Genomic DNA, 24,662 nt, shown 5'->3' with positions numbered 1-24,662 from the left:
GGGGGCCGGCGTGGGGGGACTGCGAGCCCGGCCGTGGCGCCCCCGGGCTACAGGCTCCGGCCAGGCCGGGCAGCGCGCGCAGGTCCCCGGCGCCCGGGCTTCCCAGCCGCAGCACCCTTTCGGCCCCCGACTCACTCAGGAGCGAGTTGCACAACAGGAAGCCGGCACTAGTTTGTTTTGTTGCGCTGCGTTCGCTCCCTCGCTCGCTCGCGCACGGGGCCGAGGGTTAGGGGCGGAGGCGGCGGGGGAGTGACGGGGTCGCAGCCGCGCGTACCCCGCCGGGCGCTGTCGCCTCCGCCTCCGGACCCGCCCCTAGCTCCGCGCCGAGGAATCTCCGACCCCGGCAGCGAAGCCAGTCCTATAGGGAACCGATAAGGGCCGCCCTCCTCCTGCCTTGTCCTACGCGCCTCTCCCCCGCTCCCGGCACCTCTCCCGACTTCTCCAGCCCTCCTCTTGGCAGGAGTGGTCTCGAGGACTGAGACCACTGCTCTGTGTGCCTCCTTGAGCCCCACGCTAGTTTGCCCCGGTATCCGCTTGGCCCTCATCTCTGGAGCATGTAAACCTGGGGAAGGGGTAGGGAGGTGCTTCCGGAATCACAGGGAGTAGGGTCCGTAGAGACAGGACTCGTGGAGTCGCGGCCCCGTTTCACAAAGAGGGTTGCTCTTGCACCCTCTCCCCGAGCCGGCAGAACCAACTTCCTCCAAGACTTCAGCATCTCCCGAGAGTTGGGGCCCCAGGGCCCTGGAGTTTGTGAGAAGAGGGAAGTTCTGCAGCTCCCCCCAGTGGACCAGGTCCCTTTAGTATGGGGCCGGGAATCTCGAGGAGAGACTATTAAAGCTAGAGTGGACCCTGGCTTCACCTGATGAGGAAACCGAGCCCCAGAGACGTTAGAGGTTTTGCCCAAGGCCTCACAGCCAGTTGTCGCAGACCCTTAAAGTTCTCAGGTCCCGGTTAAGAGAGCATTTCTTGGCTCGAAGATGACCTCAAGACAAATGCAAAGTCTGGTTCTGTCCCCTCTGAAAGCTTTGATGAGTCATGATTTCTGCCTTGGGAGTAAGCCAGACTTCTGTTTCACCCTCTGTCTTGTTCCTCACTGGACCTCCCTTTTTAGACTAAACTTTTTTTTTTTTTTGGGTACAAAATCGACTTGTGTTGGTTTAAACCTTCCTACTTCTTCTCTTTTATCTCCTCCTAGTTTGTTTCCGCTGGTTCTGTGTGAAGCAGGTGCAACCTGTAAAGGTTTGCAGAAAAAGAATCCGCCACGATGAAGGTCGTTCTGAGAAAGTTTGAAGCAATTTAGACAGGAGAGTGTTAGATTATATGCATTTTTTTTTTTTTTTTTTTTTTTTGCAATTGAGAACAAGCTGAGGTGTAAGGATCATCTATAACCGTACTGCAGTTTTCATTTATTTTCACTGGTCATCTGCGCAGCCAGACTAGCTCTGAGGCTACCTTTGAAAGGAAGTGTAGGGGACATTTTTTTTTCGCTATTTTCAAAACACCTGTCCTTATTGGTAGTTTGTAATTGCTTTCTTTTCTTGCCCAGAAGACTCAGTAATCCTTGAGTATGAGTAGATCAATTTAAGTGCTGCTGTTAACTTCTCCCCTTGGTTCACCTTAGGCCAGTTTGGGGACAGCATCGTTGATCCCCTGATTCCACTGAAGTTCCTTAGTAGGCAGGTTATCAGAGGTTGAATACCTAGGGTTTGTTGGTTTGCTTGGAAGAAGTGATCATCACTTCAAATAAGAAAGGCAATCTTTATTGGGGTGGTGGATGAACTCCAAGGTCCACCTAGTGGGTGAATTTCCTACTGAGCTAAAATAGCCTGGGTAGGAGAGGTTAAATAATACCCAGAAAACGTTTTGTATTAGCCCTGCCTTCATTTATGCAGGAGAAAGTGGTCCTTCTGCCATTCCAGAAGAGAGCTCAGTGTTCTCGGTCTTTTTTTTTTTTTTTTTTCCTCTGACTGTTCTTTCCTGCTAGTAAATTAAGCCTGAGGACATTCATTCTTTCCACTGTTGTCTCTCTCATATTATAATTATTGATCTTTGGAGTTGGAGTGTTAATTTACTCTTCTCCCAGATTATAGAATACATACTTCTTGAAGGAGATAACTCAGAGTGGCGTCACATGCACATTTCTCATCTCTGGAGAAGTCATTTTCTGTGTTTCTGTGATTATTTTCTGTAGAGGGCATTATATTGTAAATAAGGTGGAAATACAGGACTTAACTGTTTTACTTTTCCCTAAGTTTGGTTGGTTCATAGACTATCAGGACTGGGGAAAAAAGGCACATAGGAAATCTGTGTGATAAAAAAAAAACTTGTTGCCATTCTCATTCAAGGAAGATGACACATAACAAAACCTTTGAAATGACATTGATACATAGTTTGATTAAAAGATGTCCAAGTCCCCAGTTTTTGTAGTTTCCCACTTACTTTAGGCAGAGTTGACACAAAAGCCAAATTTTCTATTGAGATGAAATATCCTTACGGAAAAGCACACTTATCTTGAGCTCGATGCATTTTTTTGCAAGTGGAACACACCCACATAACTAGTCTCCAGATCAAGAAACAGAGCATTATCAACACACCAGAAACATCTCTCACACTCCATTCTAGTTACCACCTCTGCCTAAGGTAACCGTTGCCCTGGTTTCTAACAGATATATTAGTTTTGTCTGGTTTTTTTAAAAAAAATCTTGTGTAAATGGAATAATTCAATATGCACTCTTGGGTCTGGCTTCTTTCGCTCAACACAACAACCTTTTATTAGGTCAAATAATTTGGACTCCCCCTTTAAAGATGATGGAAACAGTCTGGCTTGCAGAAATTAGTGAGGCATTACTTAATATGATAGAATTAAGGAAAAACACTAACCAAACTGAAGCCATATTTATATTCTGATGACAGTCTGGTTAGGGAGACCAAACAGACACAAGTGAAATGTCTAATGTGACACCAGTGTAGGAAGCAGGAAAATTCAGAGGCGTTCCTTCCACTAAGGCAACCCAGAGTGTATTTCACCGTCCTTTCGTGAGGGCCAGCAACCCCCATAATAAAAAAAAAAGTAAGTGCCTGGTTTCAGTATTGAACTGTTCATTTGCAACTTTTAGCTGGGATTTTTCATTGTTCACCAGTAGGCCAAGATAAAGGCAAGAATAACATGCCTACCCAGAAGAATGGAATAGAATTTCTGTGCCACTTTTTCCTAGTAGAGAAAGGAAAAGACTAGGAAACATGCAACTGTAATTAAACTGGTTCCATAAGCCATGGGATTCATGATTATGGTCACACCTCACTTATATTGTATTTATTCAGGCAGTAAATTATAGATGTGGGTTATAATTGTATATTTCACTTACACCATGTTTTTCAGTATGAGCAGTACAGAATGAACAATATAAATAGAATAAATGTATGTGAATATATAGATGTAGCATAACTATATGATAAATGTACTGTGAAAAATATATATAGGTGTAAAACAATCTGTGTACATGTAAGGGCTGGGGAAAGTTCAAAGATAAATTAGCTATGACCCCAAAACTTAATAAAATTAGAATTTAGACAGGAAAGTGAAACACAGGCAAATAACTGTAATGTAGTGTAGAAAGTTATGAATGTTGAAAGAGAGGTGTGTAGAGTAAAATAACATTTATTGGGTCCTTTTGTGTGCTGAACAGTGTGCTAAGCATGTGATGTGGATTCTCATTTATTATTCTGTAATTTTTTTTTTTTTTGAGACATAATTTCGCTCTTGCTGCCCAGGCTGGAAAGCAATGGTGTGATCTTGGCTTACTGCAACCTCCCCCTCCTGGGTTCAAGTGATTCTCCTGCCTCAGCCTCCCAAGTAGTTGGGATTACAGGCATGTGCCACCATGCCTGGCTAATTTTGTATTTTTAGTAGAGATGGGGGTTTCACTGTGTTAGTCAGACTGGTCTCGAACTCCTGACCTCAGGTGATCCACCCACCTTGGCCTCCCAAAGTACTGGGATTACAGGCGTGAGCCACCGCACCTGGCCCATTATTCTGTAATATTATGAACTATGCACAGTAGCATCATTATCCCCATTTTTACAGGTCAGATTTATAGAGACTAAAAAAGGATCAAGGAGGGCCTAAAGTGGGTGTTTGGGGTGGGCTTAGAGGATAAGTAGGATCTGGATTTGGGGGAAAAGAGAACAAAATAAAGGAGGAGGGAAAAGACCATCGAGCTGGACTCTAAGGCGGTTTGTAGAATTAACAGAAACAAAGATCCAATCATGTTCCACTTTGGGAAGAAAAGGAATTTGTAAAACTTGAATTATGAGGTTCTCAGTAGCTGAGGGCAGACTTGAGTCAAGGAAAGCTGGTGGGGCCACCCTTGTCTGACATGATCTCTTCAAAGCCAGGAACAAGAATGACTGCACATTCCTTCAGGAGCAGCAAGACTTGCTCAACTGCAGATGGGCAGATAGCGTCACAATGCAAGATCAGATCCTGTCCTATGCTCCATGATAAAGAGATCAGACTTTCTGAATACCAGTGATTTCTAAAGTTCTAAGCCAGCTCCATCAAATTTCTTTTGTAGGCCTGCTGAATATTGTACACAGAAAACCAACCAGATGCCAGGGCTAGTTACGAAGTTTTGTTATTCTTGTGTGTGAAGAAATGGATTAATGTTTTCCCAACCTTTTCAGCATGACCGATAGATTCCACTTCTGTCTGTAACTTGGCTGAGTCATTCACAGAGGTTTTCAAAAAATCTTTTTAATAAATATGTTGTCATGTTGGTTAAGGGCCTAGTCATTGTTGTGGATGTTCATACTTCCGCAGTGATGTCAGTGAACATAATTTAACTTCTGTAAAACTGCTGTCTACCAACAGCCAGAAATAGTTACATCGGTCACTTTTAAGCAATAACTATGCTGAAGGAAAAATATCACTCAGTTACATGTGTGATGGGGACACAATAAGATGCCTGAATATTTGGTTTGAGTGATAAATTTTATTTCTAGAATCTTCCATAGGTAGATGTTTGTTACCCTTTTTGAAGGATTGTGATTTTTTAGCCTTGCAAATACTTAGTCATATGGACTAAGTGTTTAGTTACACAGACTAAAGGATAATGAATGCTCTTTTCATTTGCCACATTTTATTCCTTATGTACCCTCTTGTGTGAGGATGGGCTTGTTTTTTGTTTGTTTGTTTGTTTTTCTTGAAAGAAACATCTCCAGCCAGTTATTTTACTTCTATACTTCTGAAGAAGAAGCCTTTGTGTCTCAAACCCTGGCCATGTGCTATTCAGTGTTTGCAGTTCAGGTAATTAATTCAGCAGTGACATCATCAGGAATGTGTTCATTTTTCCATTTCAAATTCCTCTTTTCAGAATCTGATGGCTAACTCATATTAAGAACACATTTTGAAAGACTCAGTTCTCAAAGACATTGTGTGTTAATTTAAACTTTACCCACTTTAGCAGTGTAAGAGGGGAGTTTTATTCCAGGGAAGTTACCTATCCCCTGCAATGAAAAAGATCCAAAATTTTCGGTAATTTTGATCCTTATTCTGTCAGTTGGTTGATCAGTTATTACTTATTGAGCACAATTGATCAATTGATACTTACTGCACAGTGAAAGATAGCAGTGGTAGGAATGAAGCTTTGTATCATTGAATCCTTACGTTTTATAAAGCCAAAAATGTCAAACCCTTAGATCTTTTCTGTTCTTCATTCTAGCTATATTTTGTTATTTATTTTACTTTGACTGTTCAACTCTGTACCTGCAGCTGTTCTTGGTAAGTACTTGGGTAGACAAATAGTCCAAGTGCTTTTTAACAGTGACTTTTATACTGTTTTGGCCGTGACTCACCCTACAATATATTTTTTGTCTTACCCAGAAGATGTATATGCATACAAATGGGCAGATAGGTATACCCACAAATAAGTGAAGTAAAACCAATAGTTCACCATTAATATATTTGATGCACTCCAATAGCTTCTATTTTATTCTAGTAGTCCTATTTCATTAAATAATGCTTTCTCCGTTGAACAATTAATTTCATGGACCACCAATGAATTGCAATCCAGTTTGAAAAACACTACTTTAAAATGAATACTTCATTGAATGTAGATGTAGGAACTTACAGCCTGTGGGCCCAAGGCATGGTACTTTCTGAACTTATTTACGTTTTTCTTAAAAATCTTTTTGGTTCCAAGTTCGTTTTCATTTTGTGTGATTTCTTATAACTGACCAAGAAAACCCCTAATTTTCCTCTTCTCCCTTGCCATTTTTGGTAGGACCATGGCTCTCTAGACCTTTCTGTACTCATTGATGAGTTAATGACTGGGGCAAAGTAAATGAAACACTTCTAATAATTACTAGTGAAAGTAGTGACATTTAGTAAACTAGGAGGATATGAAAGTTATATAGATGCACTGAAGAGTGCAAAGGAGATTCTAAGAGAGGTTATTGAACTTTTAATATTGCCCTCGAGCGGTGTATTCCTGAAGGTCCTGAATTTGCTCCAGCAATCTGTAGCCATTATCACTGTGTGGAAGGCTCTCAATGCTGCTTCTGATTTTTAAATGAGGATTGACTAAGAGGAGTAAATTCCTGAATCGGATGTGGTCATTCTTTTTTTCCTACTCCCTTCCTCTCCCTTTTCTCTCCTTTCTTTCTTCTGTGTCCTGTTCATATTTACTACCCATATTTTGAATGTCATAGCCATTAATTTAAATTTAAAGTGACATGGCCAGTCCTTTCACTCTATAAACTTAGGAAAGATTATTTTAATTTTTGAGAAAATTTTATAAAATATAAAAATGAAAAGTTAAAACATTTATATCTCTGATTAGATTGCACAGGTTCGAATTGACAGATAAAACAAAGTCAGAGTTTCTATTAGGTGAGGTCCCTCATGTTCATTACATTATCTTTTCTGAGTAGTCTTTGGAAGAATGGTCTTGAAGAATCCCTGCAGAGGACACTAATTTGTCTTCAGTTGGTATAACTCAGAAATAAAACCTCTTTTATTTCGTCTTATTGGTGATTATATTGCTTAAGTAACATTTGTACACCTTGGTGTTCAGAATAAATATATTCATATTCTTAGAATTACCAACGTTAGGCCTTGGGAGTGCCCAAGTGAATAGGTCTATACATTCTAGTTATTAGGTGTAACCTCCCTAACTTTCTGCTCCACATTTCAATAATGAGGAATTATCTCAGTTCTGTTTCTGTGTAACTTCGGTTGCAAATTCTATGAATTTGTCAGTTGTACTGCATAAAATTATGGAACCACAGAAATGATCAAACTCTACCTTGTTATGGGTTATCATATCATAATATAGTATCCTCCAGTTTCAATTTGGGGAAATAATGTTGTACACATCCAATATATTTCCTCTATAATATCCTCCAGTTTCACAGGCACATGTTTGCACTTTCCTCTGGTTAAAATTGCAGACAAGAATAATTTTGATTTATTGGTGACATCTAATATAGCTGTGTTTATATTGTTGCCAATAAAATGACTTACGTGATTGGTTTTTGTTTATACAGTCTTTTCTGAGGAGTCAGTCACCTGTGTTAGGACAAGGGACATTCTGCTTATTTAAATGAACTCCTAGGATCTAAGAACATTCAGCTCTATCTGTCCTTGATTGAATTGCGAAATGTGCTTCACACTGCAGCCGTGCATGAGAATAACTTATATTATCTATCAATAGGCTTTTCATTTCTAGATTCTTCTGGCTACAAAAGCTGTAACAAGAGAAGCCCATGGGAATAGCAGGGACCTATTAACAAGGCAGCGATGTTGAAAAGGCGGCATTAATGAAATTATACAGTCATGAACCCAAAGGGAAAAAATAAAAAGGATCAATAAAAACTCTTATTGTAGATGGCTTAGACAGATATATAAGAAGTAGAGTCAGAAGCAGTTTGTTTGCTGGCCAGTATTTTGTGCCTCATTATCGGGTTTTCTATGCAGAGTAAGAAGTGCTTGTGGCATAAGAAATGGAAAATGTAACAAAGGCTAAATGTAGCCTAAGGAAATGAAATGATGTATGAAAATTAATAATTAACTGGCTCATCAGATGAGTTATGACTCTAGATGGGTCTGTTAATGATATTTACTAAGAAAGGGCCTTTAGCTGTAAATAGGCATTATGGAAGTCATGTTCTTGAAATTTTCTGGAATGGATGAGTTAACATTGCTTTTCGTTTGTTTAATCTTTTAATCCATGATGAGCAGTGCCTGGAGCCTTGGGTAGAAGGTAGAGTCATGATTTTATATTTTGATTAAAGTCACGCATTTTCAGAAAAACTAGTGGAATTACTAAATGGTTTTGTGCCTTAGTTTCCTTAGGGTTAAGTAATTTCCTCTCTGACCTGATTTACAGAAGTGTGTTCAAAGAGTTTGAAAGTGGTCAAAAGGAAAGATTTATTAACTTTCATGCTGACTCATATTAGCAGAATGAACATTTTCATTGTAGGAACCAATGTAGTATAAAACTCTAGCTATGCCACAATGTCAGATCCAAAATATCCTAATTTATACCTCTGGATGTTCCTTGCTTTTTCTTTTTCTTGTTTCTTTTGTTTTTGTTACTGGTAGCCTGGGGTAGAGTAGTTCGATGGAGAACAGAGGAGAAAATGCTGACTAGAATAATGTGATTGGATTTTTAACTAGAAAGGTGCTCTTCCGATGGAATCCTGTCAGTTAAGTTTTTGACAGTGATTAGTTGTGATTTTACCTTTTTGGCAAAGTGTAAATGCAATGTTGAAATTTGTTGTTCATGGTTAGTATTGCCCATAGACAACACATCGCTGATGGGCAAGCCTTTTTCTATCAGCTCGCACTTTGATGGGGGTGGTAGAGAATGCTATTATTTTTTGCTTCCATGTCTACCGTCCAGATTTAAATGCCATAGGTATAAAATCTACATATTTATTCTTGATTATAGCAAATGGGTGTTCTTGATAGTCTTTCTTTTCTAAATTACCTGGAGTTACAGAATTTCAAGAGGCCGTAATGAATAGATCCAAATTCCTGAACTTTTTATGGATGAAAAACTGTAAGTCCAGAAAAGTTATAAATGATTTGTCAGAAGTAGAACTTGGGTATCTTGACTTTTTGAGTGCCATTTCATTCACACTCTATGAGGGTCTTTCTTAAAAGTTATAATAGCATTTTATCCCTTTTTTTGTTACCAAGGAGACTTAGGATTATATCTTCATCATATGGCCTAGCTAAAAAGTATAGAAAATATTATCATATAAATAGATGAAATTTATTTTTACATTCTAATATCTAATGTTTGAGAAATCTGTTGGCGTAATTAATGTGAAAACTGGAATATTCGCCATATTTTCATGTTTAGTTTCTTTTATTTTTGTCTTGAGGCTGGTTTTGCTCAGCTTACATGCCATTGGCCTATTGGTTTTTTCGTTATGGTATTAATCACTTTACTTTCTGGCTGTTGCTTTCTTAGTAATAAAATTTAAGTATACTTTTTGTTGTTTTTACTTTCAACCTAAAACTATTTAAAACGGGAGTGTAGTTTATAAAAAAAATAAAATAAAATAAATATTCATTCCAAGACAGGCAGATGTGAATGCCTGATACTTAATTAAGTTGTCAGTGCTCTAATTATTTTTCCTTCTTGCAAACTCACCTTTTTAATGATCGTGCTAAGTACCTCCTTATGTGTTTTTATCCAGATTTTTTGATGAGAATTCCTGCTCGTATATGATCTTGCTGCCAAAAAAAATGACTCCTTTATTTTTAAAAACCTGGAAATGGGCACAGTCTGAAAATCTGCAGACACTTGTCACTTGGACCATGGTCTTAGTGACTCATATTTCCAGTCATGTTGAACAATTCTTTATTTTAAAAAAGTTGCCAATGTGACATATTTCTTTTGCCTTTTTTTGGCGGGGGGTGGGTTGCTGCTGAATACGTGCTTTCTTCTGCAGGGTTCAGAGTGCTCAGAAAACACTATTTTATCAATGAGAGGAAAATAGATGGCCAATTTTATCTGGCAAAGTACAGAGACATTAAGTGACTGTTGCTCATGATCTACCAATGAATGGATTTACAGACTGGCTGGTGACACACAGGAGTTCTCCTACATAAATGTACCATAAAAAGCATTGGAATTTTACCAATGTAAGAACTGAGGTTATCTGGTCACTCCTGCTTCGTACTCATGGGAGAAGAGGGCAGGAGTGAGACCTGACTTAGAGGAATGTGGCTGAGTGTTTTCCGGAACTAGATGGCATGATAGTATTAAATGTCACAAACTGATGGCATTCTTAGTGAAAATAGAGAATTAGTAAGAATTAAGAAAACATTCTACATTTTATATTGTTAATTACTTTTGAATTTCCTCAAGATAGGCACACACAGCAAACTTTGCAGAAGGCATAGTGAGTGCTTGAGTTAAAATTAGATATTTTTGATTTTCTAAAAATGAAAAATAAACTCTTCACAAAAAGTGTTTCTCCTTGATAGCCTTTTCTCGATTATTTATGGAGTCCTTTATTTGGAAGTTGAGTTGAAAAATGTTTGTTCAACACTTTGAGTGGATCATACACAAAAATTAGGAATCATCCACTTGAGGATATCTGGTCACTCCTGCTTTGTACTCAGTCCTTATTTCCTGTGTTTGTTGAACTTTGGCTTCTTTCCATGACTGTCATCTCTGAAAGACAGATTGTGACAGTGTCTATAATACATTTGGCATAGTGGCACAACCATGGCACTTTACCACCTCATCGCATACATTTTGGGGAGCTATTGGTCAAGGGAAGGAGGGGCCTTCTTTAGTGATTTACAACCCGGCATCATCACGTGGGTGGGTGATGACGTCCTGCGATCATGTCAGTGCTTCTCTTGGTTCTTGTTCTGCTTCCTTAATGTTAGGAAGCTTTATGGAACTATGGTAGATTTACTGAATGTCATGTATCATGTACATACTGGACAGGTCACTTTTAGAAGGGACGTTCTCTCCTTATGCTCCCTGTAAGGCGTTTTGCACAGCCCTTCTCTTTTCTAGGATTTTAGTGGAAGGTTGCAGTATCCTGTTGTTGATTCTCTTCCCATCCCCATAACTCAGGATCATTATGGAACCAAGACTCTAATGCTGCCATGAATATTTGAATATATGAATATGTGGATATATAAAAATTTTATGGTATTCCCAGGCCTAGGTGTTCATCTTTTTCGAATCTAGGGACTGTGACAAGATAGCTCTTAAAGTGAAAATCAGAGATGGTTTAGTGTCCCCATAGTCTCATTTAGAAGCCATGTCTGCTTTGTGGTTGTTTACTGGAACTTTGAAGCATTGGTCTCACAGCTCAGGTAGGTGGTGCTTTTGGGTTTCCCAAGACCCACTGTAGCAAAAGTGAACTAGTATGGACAGATCCTCTAGGGAACAAAATAAGTTTTGTTTTGCAAGCTGGCACCAGTAGATTGTTGTAGTTGCCGAGAGCACTGTATTGAGAAGGGCTCAGTGGCAAACAAAACAATGCAGTGATCCATAATCCATGTCCACCATGAGTGCAGAAGGGGAGAGTGCCTGCCAATGAGCCGTGTATTTGAGGACCCTTTTCTACATAAAAGGCCATCTTGCTAAGAGTGCTGCTTTTCTTCCTTATGAATGATACACAGGTTGAAAAACTCACTGTATCTTATTTTCATTTTTGCTTTTAAAAATGCCTGCGTTTATTTTTTTAAACAGGCTTATAACCCACACCATGGATAACTTATTGGACTTTGCCTGAAAGGAGTCATTAGTGACATTGGATATTTGACCGTCTTGGCCACAGGTTTTTCAGAATGAATGGAAGATCATGCAGCATGAGTCTCCACCGGACATCGGGAACCCCACAGGGGCCTAGGATGGTCAGTGGTCATCACATTCCTGCCATCCGAGCCCACTCCGGGACTCCTGGCCCCTCGCCCTGTGGCAGCACATCGAGTCCCACTATGGCAAGCCTTGCTAACAACCTCCATCTCAAGATGCCCTCAGGAGGAGGGATGGCTCCTCAGAACAACGTGGCTGAGAGCCGCATCCATCTGCCTGCCTTAAGCCCCAGGAGACAAATGCTCACCAATGGGAAGCCGCGATTCCAGGTCACCCAGGCTGGAGGCATGTCAGGGTCACATACTTTAAAGCCAAAGCAGCAGGAGTTTGGAAGCCCTTTTCCTCCAAATCCTGGGAAAGGTAGGATTGTCTTTCTGGAACCTTTTAAAAATGGAAACGATTTTTTTCTCCCCCATCCCATTTTCTGCCAGCAAATCCTATGGAAAAATACATGATTCAGTGTCAGGGTCAAAGATGATGGTCTCATAATGATATATAGCTTGCTCAGTAAGGGAATGGGTGTGTATGTGTTGGAGGGGACCACAGTGGTAAATGCTGAGTATGAGACATCTCCTGGGACTGTGAAACAGAGTAACAGTAAGATAGAAAGATAAAAAATAGGGAGGCAGGCTGAGTGGTTGTGGTGGAAGGGTAAGAGCTAGGTTAGCAAGATCATGCCCTCCGGATACAGGTAGCGCTGCCCTGTTTCCCTGGGGGCTGAATTCTCCAGGCCATGGACAAGAAGACCGACTGGAACTGTCCTTATGCCAGTGCTAAAAGTATAGTGTAGAAGAAAGGTGGTGTTTGGAAGGAAAAGAATAAAAAAGGGAAATTTTAATAACCAATAAAATGAGGAATCAATAAATATAAATAAGAAAAATTAAGAGCAAAGCCTGTAATTTTTATCATATAGCTAGTAGCAAGAGGGAAGCAAGCTAGAAGGGAATAATGAAAAGATGTATTTTGTGCTTGCGGAGAACTAGAAAACCTGGTCAATTTGAAGTATAGAGAGAATGTGCTTTTAATTCATTAGTGTTTTAATTACCATATATTTTAAATTAAAGAATAATTGTTGGTGAATAGCAAGTTATTTGAGCGACACATTAGAAATTGATGTTGAATTAATGAGGTTATATTGTAGATGACGTATGTATTTAGAGAAAGAGCATGCACCCCACGTAAAATATAGCTTTGCTGTATAAAATAGCACAATTATATATTCCTTAAGGTATTTTTAGCATTCCGTCTTAAATGTTTATGTTAAAAATGCTTACACCAGCAAATAGAATTACTAGCAACCTTCAGAATAGCCAGTCATTCAGTTAATTAAGGTGAATAATGATTTCTATCAGTCAAGTAGCCAAAAAGTTGTTTTAGAGTCTGTGTATTTCTGTGTTTGGATAAATTGGTATAAATGGGCAGGTTTAAAAAAAAAATAGCACTAAACATACATGTGCCTTTTAAATTAGAAAATTTTTTGAGACGGGGTATCACTTTGTCACCCAGGCTGGAGTACAGTGGCATGATCTTGGTCTCACTGCAGCCTCATCCTCCTGGGTTCAAGTGATCCTCCTGCTTCAGTCCCCCAAGTAGCTGGGACCACAGGTGCGTGCCACAACGCCTGGCTAATTTTTTTTTTCTTTTTTTTTTTTTGAGACAGGATTTCGTTATGTTGCTCAGGCTGGTCTCCAACTCCTGAGCTCAAGTGATCTGCCTGCCTTGGCCTCCCAAAGTGCTAGCGTTACAGGCGTGAGCCACCGTGCCAGGCCTTAATTTATTTATTTTTCTTCTTCTTCTTTTTTTTTGGTCTAGATTAGTTTTGAGTCATTTTATTTCTTAGAGGTACTGATATTTAGCATAAGTATAGGAGAAAGTTTCCCTGGGGCTACATCCAAAATAGGTTGCTCATTGTCAGGTTGCTATGTCCATGATGTGGCAAGTTAAGTTCCCTCCTGTTAAATTTAGGTGTTCAGATTTTCAGGGGTTGAGGCCCGATAAAGCCTTTTAGCGCATGCTTGACTAGTGAACCGTAGCTTGCTTTTATATGTACTTGTGTTTGCAATCCTGACTGACACTAATAATGGTGATAATATTAATAACTTGCCTTTATTGTATCATAACTCAGCATATGTCAGGCACCGTGTTAAGTGCTTTCCAATACGTAGTCTCAGTTATTCCTCAAACAGCACTGAGTTGTATGCTATGGTTATTTAACTGATAAGGGAACTAAGGTCTAGAAAGAGTAAGTAACTTCAGAGGCACCAGCCAGTAAGGAGCTTGGGAATACTAACTTTGATGGCGGTCAGCAGTGGCTGTAATTAAAGCCATGTTTTCTTAAAAAACCTCAGGTGCTAGTGAATTCTCAGGGTTGATACACCTTGAAATGCCTGTCAGAAGTAGTGCTGCTTCTTGATTCTCTTCCCTGTGGCTTTTTGTTTCCTTGCTCAGCTTCCTAGCTTACAGTGCTCCTCCTGGATCTGCATGGTTGGCACATGCATAGGCACAAATGAGGGGTAGAGGACAGCTGTATTATTATCACCTCTAGCTTTGGAGCTTAGATACCATCAGTGGTCTAGATGGTGCAAGAAGTGGCTGAATGTATCGTTTCTTCCAGATTTTGGTTGACAATTCCTATACTAAGCCAATAACTGGTTGAGGATGGTGATCTAGGATTATTTGAACTTTGATCATTTACTCTACAAATAATTATTGAGCATATATTATGGGTGAGCCACTGTTCTGGAGATGCAATAGCCAATAAAGCATAGTCCTTTCCCTCAAGGAGTTGGATAATTCATACAAACAAGTGGGCAGTTAAACTACAGCACAGTAGGTGGGGTGCGATGGCTCACGCTTGTAATCCCAGCAGTTTGGGAGGCCAAGGCAGGCAGATCATTTGAGGTCAGGAGTTTGAAGCCAGCCTGGCCAAGATGGTGAAACGCCGCCTCTGCTAAAAATACAAAAATGAGCCGGGTGTGGTGGTGGGCGCCTGTAATCCCAGCTACTCGGGAGGCTGAGGCAGGAGAATTGCTTGAGCCTGGGAGGCAGAGATTGCAGTGAGCAGAGATTGCGCCATTGCACTCCAGCCGGGGCAAGAAAGCAAGACTCTATCTCAAAAAAAAAAAAAACAAAAAAACAAAAAAACAGCACAGTAAGGACTCCGGTAGGGATACACTCAGAATGATATGGCCACATAGAAGGGTTCCTGGCCTGTGCTATATAGGCAGATACTTGGAAGGTAAAGAGCTAGCTTTGCAATCCTGCAAAGTGCATTCCTGTGTGTGTGTGTGTGTGTGTGTATGTGTTTGTGTGTGCACGCATATATTTGCATGGAGGGGGTTGTCTGGGACTTATTCTGGGAAGGGAGAAAAATGCACTCAAAACTTGGAGGGAAGAAATCCTGGTGCATGTCATGGACTTGCACCTGGTTCCACATAGGTAGGGGTACAGAAAACAGTGGTAAGAGATGAAGCTGGAGAAGAATCAGCAGAAGCCAGAGGAAGGGCCATGAATGATGTGCCAAGGAGTTTGGATCCATTTTGAGGACGCTGATGGAACATGGGACTCTTGTGGGTTTATTAATTAGGGTTTTCCAGAGAAATAGACAAATAGGATACATATCTACATGTGTATATTTGTGTGTGTGTATATATATAAAGAAATTTGTTATAAGAAATTGGCCCTTGGGATTATGGAGAGTGGCAGGTTCCAGGATCTACAGGGAGAGTCAATCAGCTGGAGACCCAGGAGAGCCAATGGTTTCATTGCAGTCTGAGTCTGAAGGCCTGAGAACTAGGAGAACCCACGATGTAGTCCCTGTCTGAAGGCTGCCAGGCTCAAGATCCAGGAAGAGCTGATGTTTCAGTTTGAAGTTAAAGGCAAGGAAAAAGCCAGTGTCCCAGTTGGAAGGCAATCAGGCAGGAAGAATTTTCTCTTGTCGGGGGCGAGGGTCAACCTTGTTCTATTCAGGACTTCAACTGATGGGCTGAGAACCACCCACATTAGGGAGGGCAATATGTTTTACTCAGTGTACTGACTAAATGTTAATCTTACCCAAAAACACCCTCATAGAAATGCCCAGAGTAGTGTTGGACCTAATATTGGGGCACCAAGTGGCCCAGTCAAGTTGACACATAAATTTTAACCAAAGCAGTATCATTGCTTTGGGGCAAGGTACAGTTTACACGGCGGCTAAGAAAATGCATTTTCTAAGCTTTGAAAGTGATTATAGCAACTCTTAGGGAAGCGTAGAGCTGTGTACGGAGAAAGGTTAAGTTGCCTAAGAATTGCTACACAGACAAGCATCTGACTTGAAGACTGAAGAATCTTTGATGGAAGGCTCATGAGAAGTATACATTTGATATTATTTATATTATTTAAAAATTGAGTTCTGCTCAGTTGAAAACTCAAATAACAGTGGCTTTAATATCATAGATTGTGGTTCCCAAACAGTGTGTTAAAGGTCACTGGAGTGCCACAGTGAACTTTGGGAGTCACAGGGTATTTTAAATTTAGAAGGAAACAGGGATATGTGATATCCTTTGGACACCAGGCAAACTACTAGCTTGAGGAGGTTGACAGTTTTAACAGTAAGTTGCACTATGTTCCTTTTGGTGACATCATATCTTTGAGAAGCTCCATTTTCAGTAATTGTGATTTAGAAGCAGCAAGTACTTTTGACACCCATGTCCACAGCAGCATTATTTATGATAGCCAAAAGGAAGAAACAACCCAATGTGGTATATACATACAATGGCATATTATTTAGCCTGAAAAAGAAAGGAAGTTCTGACACATGCCACAACATGGATGATCTTTGAGGAAATTATGCTAAATGAAATGCACCAGTCACAAAAGGACACGTATTGTATGATTCCTTTTGTATGAAGTTCCTGGAATGGTCAAATTCATATAGTCAGAAAGAGTGGTGGTTGCTGGGAGTTGGGGAGAAGGGGGCATGAGGAGTTAGTGTTTGATGGGTACAGAGCTTCAGTTGGTGAGGATGGAAAAGTTTTGGAGATGGGTAATGGTGATGGTTGCACAATAATGTGAATGTACTTAATGCCACCGAACTGTATACTTACAAATGATTAAGACGATCGCTTTTATGCTGTATATATTTTACCACAATTTTAAAAGAGCAAATACTAAGTGAAAATCAACGTGGAACGGGTGATGGTGTCCAATCTTACTCCAAAATTTGAGAAACACTAGAGTGCACAATTTAACACACATCCCATTAGTATTTGTGGTTGTTTAAGAATGAAATAAAAATACTATTTTTCTTTTAATTTATTTGTATTATTTTTTCAAACGACTAATAAGCTGTTAGTACATACATGTTATTGAGTTGTTTACACCTAACTACTTGATAAATGCAACTTTAGGTGTTTCTTTTGGCCTAGGGGAACCAAGAAAAAATTACTGAAACACTGAGCATGCTATGAACTGAGAACAGTTGGGAACTTTTGTTGTAGGAGTTTATTTTTATTATACAGAGAAGACTGCAGTAGGTGCTTGCTGCTAGTGGTTGGCCACTCCGCTCTCTCTGGTCCAAGATCGTGGAGCTTTCTTTAGTCTTCTTCTAGATTGCACAACATTTGCCTCATTCCAGCTCCAGCTATCTAGTCTGCCTTCTGAGAAGAGTGAGGAGGAAGGAAGAGGATAAAAGGCAAAAGAGAAAAAGAACAACTCCTCCCAGATCTGTTCCTCTTCAAACAGCTTTCCCAGGTGCCCTACCCAGCTATTCCCATTTAAATTAACCAATCATTGCATAACTTATTTCTTAAATACAATTCATTCTTTGACGCTGAATTTATCATTTTTTAAAGTTTGATCTGGCCTTCTGCTGTTTTGTGTTGTATTATACTGCATTTAACTTTTTTTTGCATTTTGCCTCTTTTATCTCTCTCAAGTAAGGTGAACCACTTGAAAGTAAGTTGCAGACATTGTGACCTCCAAATTCCTAAGCCAGTATCTTTCATGTTATATAACCAAAATATATTAATCATAACCAAGAAAGTTAATTTTCATACAAAGTATTATTTATATATAGTTACATTTTAAAATACAGCCCAGGCTGGCATGTGGCTCACACCTGTAGTCCCAGCACTTTGGGATGCCACGGTGGGCGGATGGCTTGAGGCCAGGAGCTCAAGACCAGTCTGGGCAACAAAGTGAGACCCCTCTCTCTCTACAAAAAATAAAATAATTAGCTGGGTGTGTTGGCATGTGCCTGTTGACGCAGCTATGCGGGAGGCCGAGGTGGGAGGATCACTTGAGTCCAGGAGTTTGAGGCTGCGGTGAGCCATGATTGTGCCACTGCACTCAAGCCTGGGTGACAGAGTGAGACCCTGCCTCAAACATAAATAAATAAATAGTAATCCATATTTCAATTTTATATTATTTTTTATTTCATTCTACTTACATTATTAATATGATATAAATTATTATATCAGATTTATGATATTATCTAATTGTCCTTTATAGCTGTTTTTTTTTTCTAATCAAAGATCATATATTACCTTTGGTTGTCATATCTCTTTAGCCTACTTCACCAGACTTTTTTCATTGTCTGTGGTATTCTCAGGGATAAACCTAAGTAAAGGAATGATACAGGAAAATAACATTTTAAACTAGTATCAGTATTTTAAAATTAATGATGTGGCAGTGGAGAAAAACACACAGCTAAGCAAACCGACTGACCAAACAAGCTCTAATCTAAGCTCTAGGTTAACACCAGTTGAAATATCCAACCACAGACAGTAAAAAATAAACATGAAACTTGATGTATTATTTAAAGTACATTAATTTTTCAGCCTCCCAGGTTTTCACAATACATTATTTTTCTTAAACCAGGTCTTCACAAGAGACACCACCCTTAAGTGACACAAAAGAGTTTTTTAATCCCAATTAGTTTGGTGTCCTTTGTTGATATTATTGTTTTTTTTCTTCCAGTTCCTCTACCTTTCTTTGTGTTTCATTAAAAAAAACGCTGATATATATATAATATAAAATATATATAATATGTATTATGTGTGTGTGTGTGTGTGTGTGTGTGTGTGTGTGTGTGTATATATATATTTTTTTTTTTTTTTTTTGAGATGGAGTCTTGCTCTGTTGCCCAGGCTGGAGTGCAGTGGCGCGATCTCGGCTCACTGCAACCTCTGCCTCCTGGGTTCAAGCAGTTCTCTGCGTCAGCCTCATGAGTAGCTGGGATTACAGGTGCCTGCCACCACGCCCGGAAACTTTTGTATTTTTATTAGAGATGGGGTTTCACCATCTTGGCCAGGCTGGTCTTGAACTCCTGACCTCATGATCCACCTGCCTCAGCCTCCCAAAGTGCTGGGATTACAGGCATGAGCCACCGTGCCCAGCCACGCTGATATTTTTAAAGAGTTTAGGTGAGTTGTCTTGTTCCACACTCTGGTTTGTCTGATAATTTCTTCATGATTGGATTCAGGTTAAATATTTTTGACAAGAACACTATGAAGGTGATTTGTGTACCACACATTGCATTATACCCAGAAGCACTGAATGCTGCTTCATCCTAGTATTTGTGATGCTATATTTGATCACCTGGCTAAGGTGGTGTTACCAGATCTCTGCATTGTGAAGGACACTTTCTCTTTCAAAATGTATAAGTAACCTTGTGCGAATATCTTGTCCTCCAACAATCTTTCATAGCATCCATTGATGATACTTGTCAGAATCAGTTTTTACATGGTTGGTTGCATAGTGGTGATTTTCTGATTCTTTTATTCCTGCTATGTTTATTAGCTGGTATTCTTCTAGAGAGAGGAGTTTCTCTCCCTTCTCTTTTTGTGAATCACTACAGAATCACTCATGGATTTTTTTTAAATTATTCTGTTAGAATTCATTACCATCATTATTCTTTGTGATGCTCAAACTGTCCCAAATTTGACCAGTGGGAGCCCCTTGAAGTCAATTCTTGTGTCTTTATGACATGTTCCCATTAAGTACTTCCTTGCTTACAGGCATAACAAGATGTTCTAGGCTCACTTTTATTTGCGTGCCCCATACCTGGAATCATGCATTTTCCCAAGAAGCTCAAGTCCCTCTTAGTGGGGAATATCTGGAAAACTGGCTGAAAGGGTGTTCTTGTTGACTGTGGGATGTCATTGCTTGTAAGCCTTTTCTACGGACAGAGTTAGGAAATATATTAGAGAAAGATAGTGAGTTCCAATTAAAATACAACATTACTGAGTTCTTCGTCACACTATCTTGTTGCACACTTGTCAGTGTTTTCAGCAACATCAGTGTATTTTTTTTGCTCTGTCTACGACAAGGAAGAGTTACTTTTAGTTTTATGTTTCTAAGATAATAGAAATTAGTTTAAAAATTGATCACTTACTACATGTAAATTTTTAATGAGCGGAGGTGAATGTGTTCCTATGTATCTGAGCCACTGAGTAAGCAGGCAGGACAGGGTGCAGTTGGCAACTTATTAGTCTCGCTAGGATTTGTGTTTGAAGGATCCCGGTTATATTGTATTTCCCCTACTTCCTGCTCCAACAGTTACTCATTGTAATTTGACTCGTAGAAATGCATTTTTCACAGCGTCTGGGAAATCAGCTTTATGATCCCCACTTTAAGTACATTTGACACAACTATTTAAATATTTAAGACAATTTTACATTTGTAGTACCCGGAGGAATATATAATTGGGAAGATTTTCATTATAAGAGTTTTTATTTTACTTCAGGGCTTCTGACATTTCTTGCTGGGCTCTGCTGTCCTTGGAGACAAAGGGAGTTAGTTATTCATTAGCGTTTGTGGGTTATTCATTATTGTTGGTCAGACAAAAAAGACAGAATAATATCAACAAAGGACACCAAACTAATTGGGATTAAAAAACTCTTTTGTGTCACTTAAGGTTGGTGTCTCTTGTAAAGACCTGGTTTAAGAAAGATAATGTATTGTGAGAACCTGGGAAGTCAAAAACTTAATGTACTTTAAATAATACATCAAGTTTCATGTTTATTTTTTACTGTTTGTGTTTGGCTATTTCAATTGGTTTTAATCTAGAGCTTAGGTTAGAGCTTGCTTGGTCAGTTGGTTAGCTAGCTGTGTGTTTTTCTCCACTGCCACATCATAGATTTTAAAATACACTGATTTAAAATGTTACTTTCCTATACTTAGGAAAAGTATTTCCTTTACTTAGGTTTATCTCTGGGAAAACAACAGACAATGAAAAAAGTCTGCTAACACCAGTGTGTGTACCGTGTTGAATGCAGCCATGTTAGAACTGGGATAATAGTGGAGATTGGGGTCCCGCAATTTTGAAGAGATGCAGTTAATATATTACCTAAAGAAGGTTGGGGCAAAATCCGTGGTTATTTTTTTTTCACTTCTGCTTTTTAATCATTTATATTTTCTTGCACTTCCAATGTGGCTTCCTGCAGAATTAGAGCAAATGAAGTTAATATTCCATAAAAGTTTCCAAAAATAACCAAACAGCCAGAGACCAAAGACATTATTCCAGTTGAGGTAGCCAGAGTTTTCATTTTGTCTTGCCAACAAGTCAGGTGAAACACAATGTTTACTTTTGTTTACTCTCTGAGCTACACAGGGTCCAGTTTGTATGATTTATTGATGCTTTGTATAAATCAAATTGATGATGCATTTCCAAGTATTACTCAATCGGAGGCGTGATTTGTTCCAATTATAAAAGGGGGTTTCAGTCTTATAACATTACATCTTTAAAAGAATCTATTCCATTAGTACCCTTCCCCACTTCAAATGCTACAGGACATGAAGCAGAAATGGAACTTTCATTAGTCACCTATAGCATTTTCTTTCTTCTCTTCCCTCCCCTCCCCTCCCCTCCCCTTCCGTCCCCTTCTCTTCCCTTCCCTTCCCTTCCCTCCCCTCCCCTTCCCTCCCGTCCCCTTCCCTCCCCTCCCGTCCCCTTCCCTCCCCTCCCCTTCCCTCCCCTCCCGTCCCCTTCCCTCCCCTCCCCTTCCCTCCCCTCCCCTTCCCTTCCCTCCCCTCACCTCCCCTCCCGTGCCCTCTCCTTCCCTCCCGTGCCCTCTCCTTCCCTCTCCTCCCCTCCCCTCCCCTCCATTTTCTTCTCTTCTCCTCTATTCTCATTTTTTTCTTTTCTTTCAGTCTTACTCTGTTGCCCAGTGCACTGGCACTATCTGGGCTCACTGCAACCTCCACCTCCTAGGTTCAGGTGATTTTCCAGCCTCAGCCTCCCAAGTAGCTGGGACCACAGGCATGTGTCACCACCGGCTAATTTCTGTATTTCTTTTGTAGATATGGGGTTTTTCTATGTTGCTCAGGCTGAGCTTGAACTCCTGAGCTCAAAGTGATCCATCTGCCTCGGCCTTCCAAAGTGCTAGGATTACAGGCATGAACCACTGCTCCTGGCTAACCTGTAGCATTTTCTAAGGTGGTTAAAGGGGAACAGCCTTGGACTTGTACAGTACTTTGTAGTTCACAAACTTTCATATTGATTATCTCATGTGATTTGATTAAAGGCAGCATCCTATGAGATGGGGTAATCGGCCCCATTTTAGGTATGAAGACATCAAGGCTCAGTTTGCTGGTGATCTCATTCTTTTTAAAAATATTTATTTATTTATTTACTTACTTGCTTATTTATTTATAGAGACTGGGTCTTGCTCTGTCCCCCAGGCCAGAGTGCAGTAGCACGATCATAGCTCACTGCAGCCTTGAACTGCTGGGCTCAAGTGATCCTCCCACCTCAGCCTCCCATGTAGCTGAGACCACAGGGGTGTATCACCACACCTGGCTTTTTTTTTTTTTAATTTTTGTAGAGATGGGATCTTGTTGTGTTGCCCAGGATGGTCTCAAACTCCTAGGCTCAAACGATCCTTCCACCTCGGCCTCCCAAAGTGCTGGGATTACAGTTGTGAGCCACCATGCTCTGCCCAATCTCATTCTTTATGTGCTGTGTGGTTTTACACTGAATAGGACCCCACGGTCTTAGATCTTTTGCTATAGGAGTTCAGAGAAATCTTTCTCCTTCTCTCTATTTGAATACAGGGTGCTGCCATTCCTGAAAAAGTATACTTTTAAAAACTCAAACCATTCAGCTGTCGTTTCCATCCATGAGCTGAAGAAATGGGCACTTACTCCTTTTTTCGAAAATTTTACTTGACTTTTTTCAACAGTTGGCCCCTCTGAACATGGAGAGCGTTGCCTACTCGGGAGGAGTTAGGCAGCCTTTTGTGTGGCCACCTGAGTGACATCGGTATATGCATAAGCACCTTTCCATGCCTCTATCTATATGAAGTCTTTAAACCCAGGCAGGCAGATACTATGAATGTGAATAGATTTGCTACTTCTGACTTGTCACATTTTAAAGACACAATAGATAGTGGCTTGTATTTAGTGCTTATTTTCATGGCTGCCTTATTTGAATAATGAAAGACGTAAAAAGTTTGTAATTGGATCTGACATAATAAACACATTACAAAATGCAACTTGTGGTGTAGGACCTTGCTACTCAAGTATAATTTGAGGACCAGCAGTTTTAGCCTCCCCCAGGACCTGGTTAGAAATGTACAGGGCACTCCAGACCTCTTGAATCAGAATGTGCATTTTAACAATATTCCCAGGTGATTCATGTGCACAGGGCTGGCTTCATGGATGTGTGAGCAGTCACTGCACAGGGTCCTGCACTCAGAAGGGGTGCCCTGTGCTTAGGGTTTAGTGTTCTGTGGTCACCTTCTTGGCATTCTTAATAATTTTGTTTTTGAATCTGTTTTTTGCTAGTGAAGTCCCATGGGATACTGGAGCAGTTAATGTGTGGTCCCATCCCCTGCCAGGATGACCGCTGACTCTTCCACTTCCACCCAATATTCATTGCCACCCTCTGCTTCTGGCAGGGATGGGGACTTGCAAGAGGGTATGAGGAAGGTGGAGTGGGGTGTGTGTGCCCCATATGCCCAATTGCCAGTGAGGCTCTGGGCACCTTTGAGGGTCTGCGCTTGCCCTGAGAATATCCCTGTGCAGAAGGAACCCAATCAATGTTAAGTAGCAAATGAAAAAACACCCCAACAAGTCCAGAGAGAGACCTAAGAAGAAAGGAAAAAGCTTTCTTCTTGCTTTTTGATCAAGGGATGCAGCATTTTTGTTTGGCACTGGTCCCCACAAATTATGTAACTGACCTTGCAAGTGTACATTGACATTCGAGAAGCATTGCTGTAGGGAAACAACATGGACTTTGGGGCCAAGACCCATTGTCCAGTTCAGGCTTTACCACTATGGTGACCTTTTCAAGCCACCAGGCCTCCTGCCTCAGTTTCCTCATCTGGAAGGTGGGGGATAATGTATTATCCTCATTCACAAATGGGCAGAGTCTAGGCAAAGGGCAGACTCGGCCACATGTCCTGGAGTAGGAGAATGTCCTATGCAAGGACATGCTCTTTTCTTTGGTTTCATGAGGCTGATGAACAAAGCTGCACATTATGGCCTGAGGGTGGAATGGAGGTGCAGGGCAGGGTACGAAATGGGACAAGAAGGCCAAAAACCAGGTTTTTCAGATTCATAGGAGCATTTGGAAATTTGGAGTCAAGAAGCTGAGAAAGACAAGAGATTGGGGATCTTGGGTAGGGAGGAGAGTGAGCATCAGAGAATCTTCGAGTTATGTGGATTGACTTTTCAAGTAGTCACCCACTTGTGTGGAAATCTCTGGCACACGTAAGATGGTGGAACAGAAAATGGCATTTACTTCTGAGGTTGAAGTTAGATGATAAATGTGAAAATACATTTATTTATTTATTTATTTATTTATTTATTTATTTATTTATTTAT

General features: G+C 40.3%; 1 protein-coding gene across 17 annotated transcripts in view, besides 1 other annotated feature; it reads left to right on the top strand.

Moving 5' to 3' along the window:
• Positions 1–24,662, top strand: part of GLIS3 (GLIS family zinc finger 3) — a 666,339-nt gene that overhangs the window by 192,213 nt on the left and 449,464 nt on the right. For 12 of the 17 annotated variants that reach the window (XR_007061257.1, XM_011517763.3, NM_001438911.1 and 9 more), the window contains exon 2: positions 11,730–12,215. The exons of 4 other annotated variants lie outside the window; for them this stretch is intronic. Coding sequence is in view for 10 of the 13 variants with exons in the window: in XM_011517763.3 (XP_011516065.1) it covers positions 11,828–12,215 (388 nt within the window). In the remaining 3 variants the exon portion in view is untranslated. The remainder of the gene's footprint in view (positions 1–11,729; positions 12,216–24,662) is intronic. One more of the 17 variants, NM_001438908.1, reaches the window with a different exon arrangement.
• Positions 890–1,184: an enhancer, noted in NCBI's record as "tiled region #13837; K562 Activating DNase unmatched - State 12:CtcfO". NCBI's record gives its function as "activates a minimal TATA promoter and a strong SV40 promoter by Sharpr-MPRA in K562 cells {active_cell/tissue: K562}" and the evidence as "EXISTENCE:reporter gene assay evidence [ECO:0000049][PMID:27701403]".

The sequence above is a fragment of the Homo sapiens genome, chromosome 9 (genome assembly GCF_000001405.40).
Source record: "Homo sapiens chromosome 9, GRCh38.p14 Primary Assembly".
Classification (NCBI taxonomy): Eukaryota; Metazoa; Chordata; class Mammalia; order Primates; family Hominidae; genus Homo; species Homo sapiens.
This window is presented reverse-complemented; position numbering and strand designations above follow the sequence as displayed.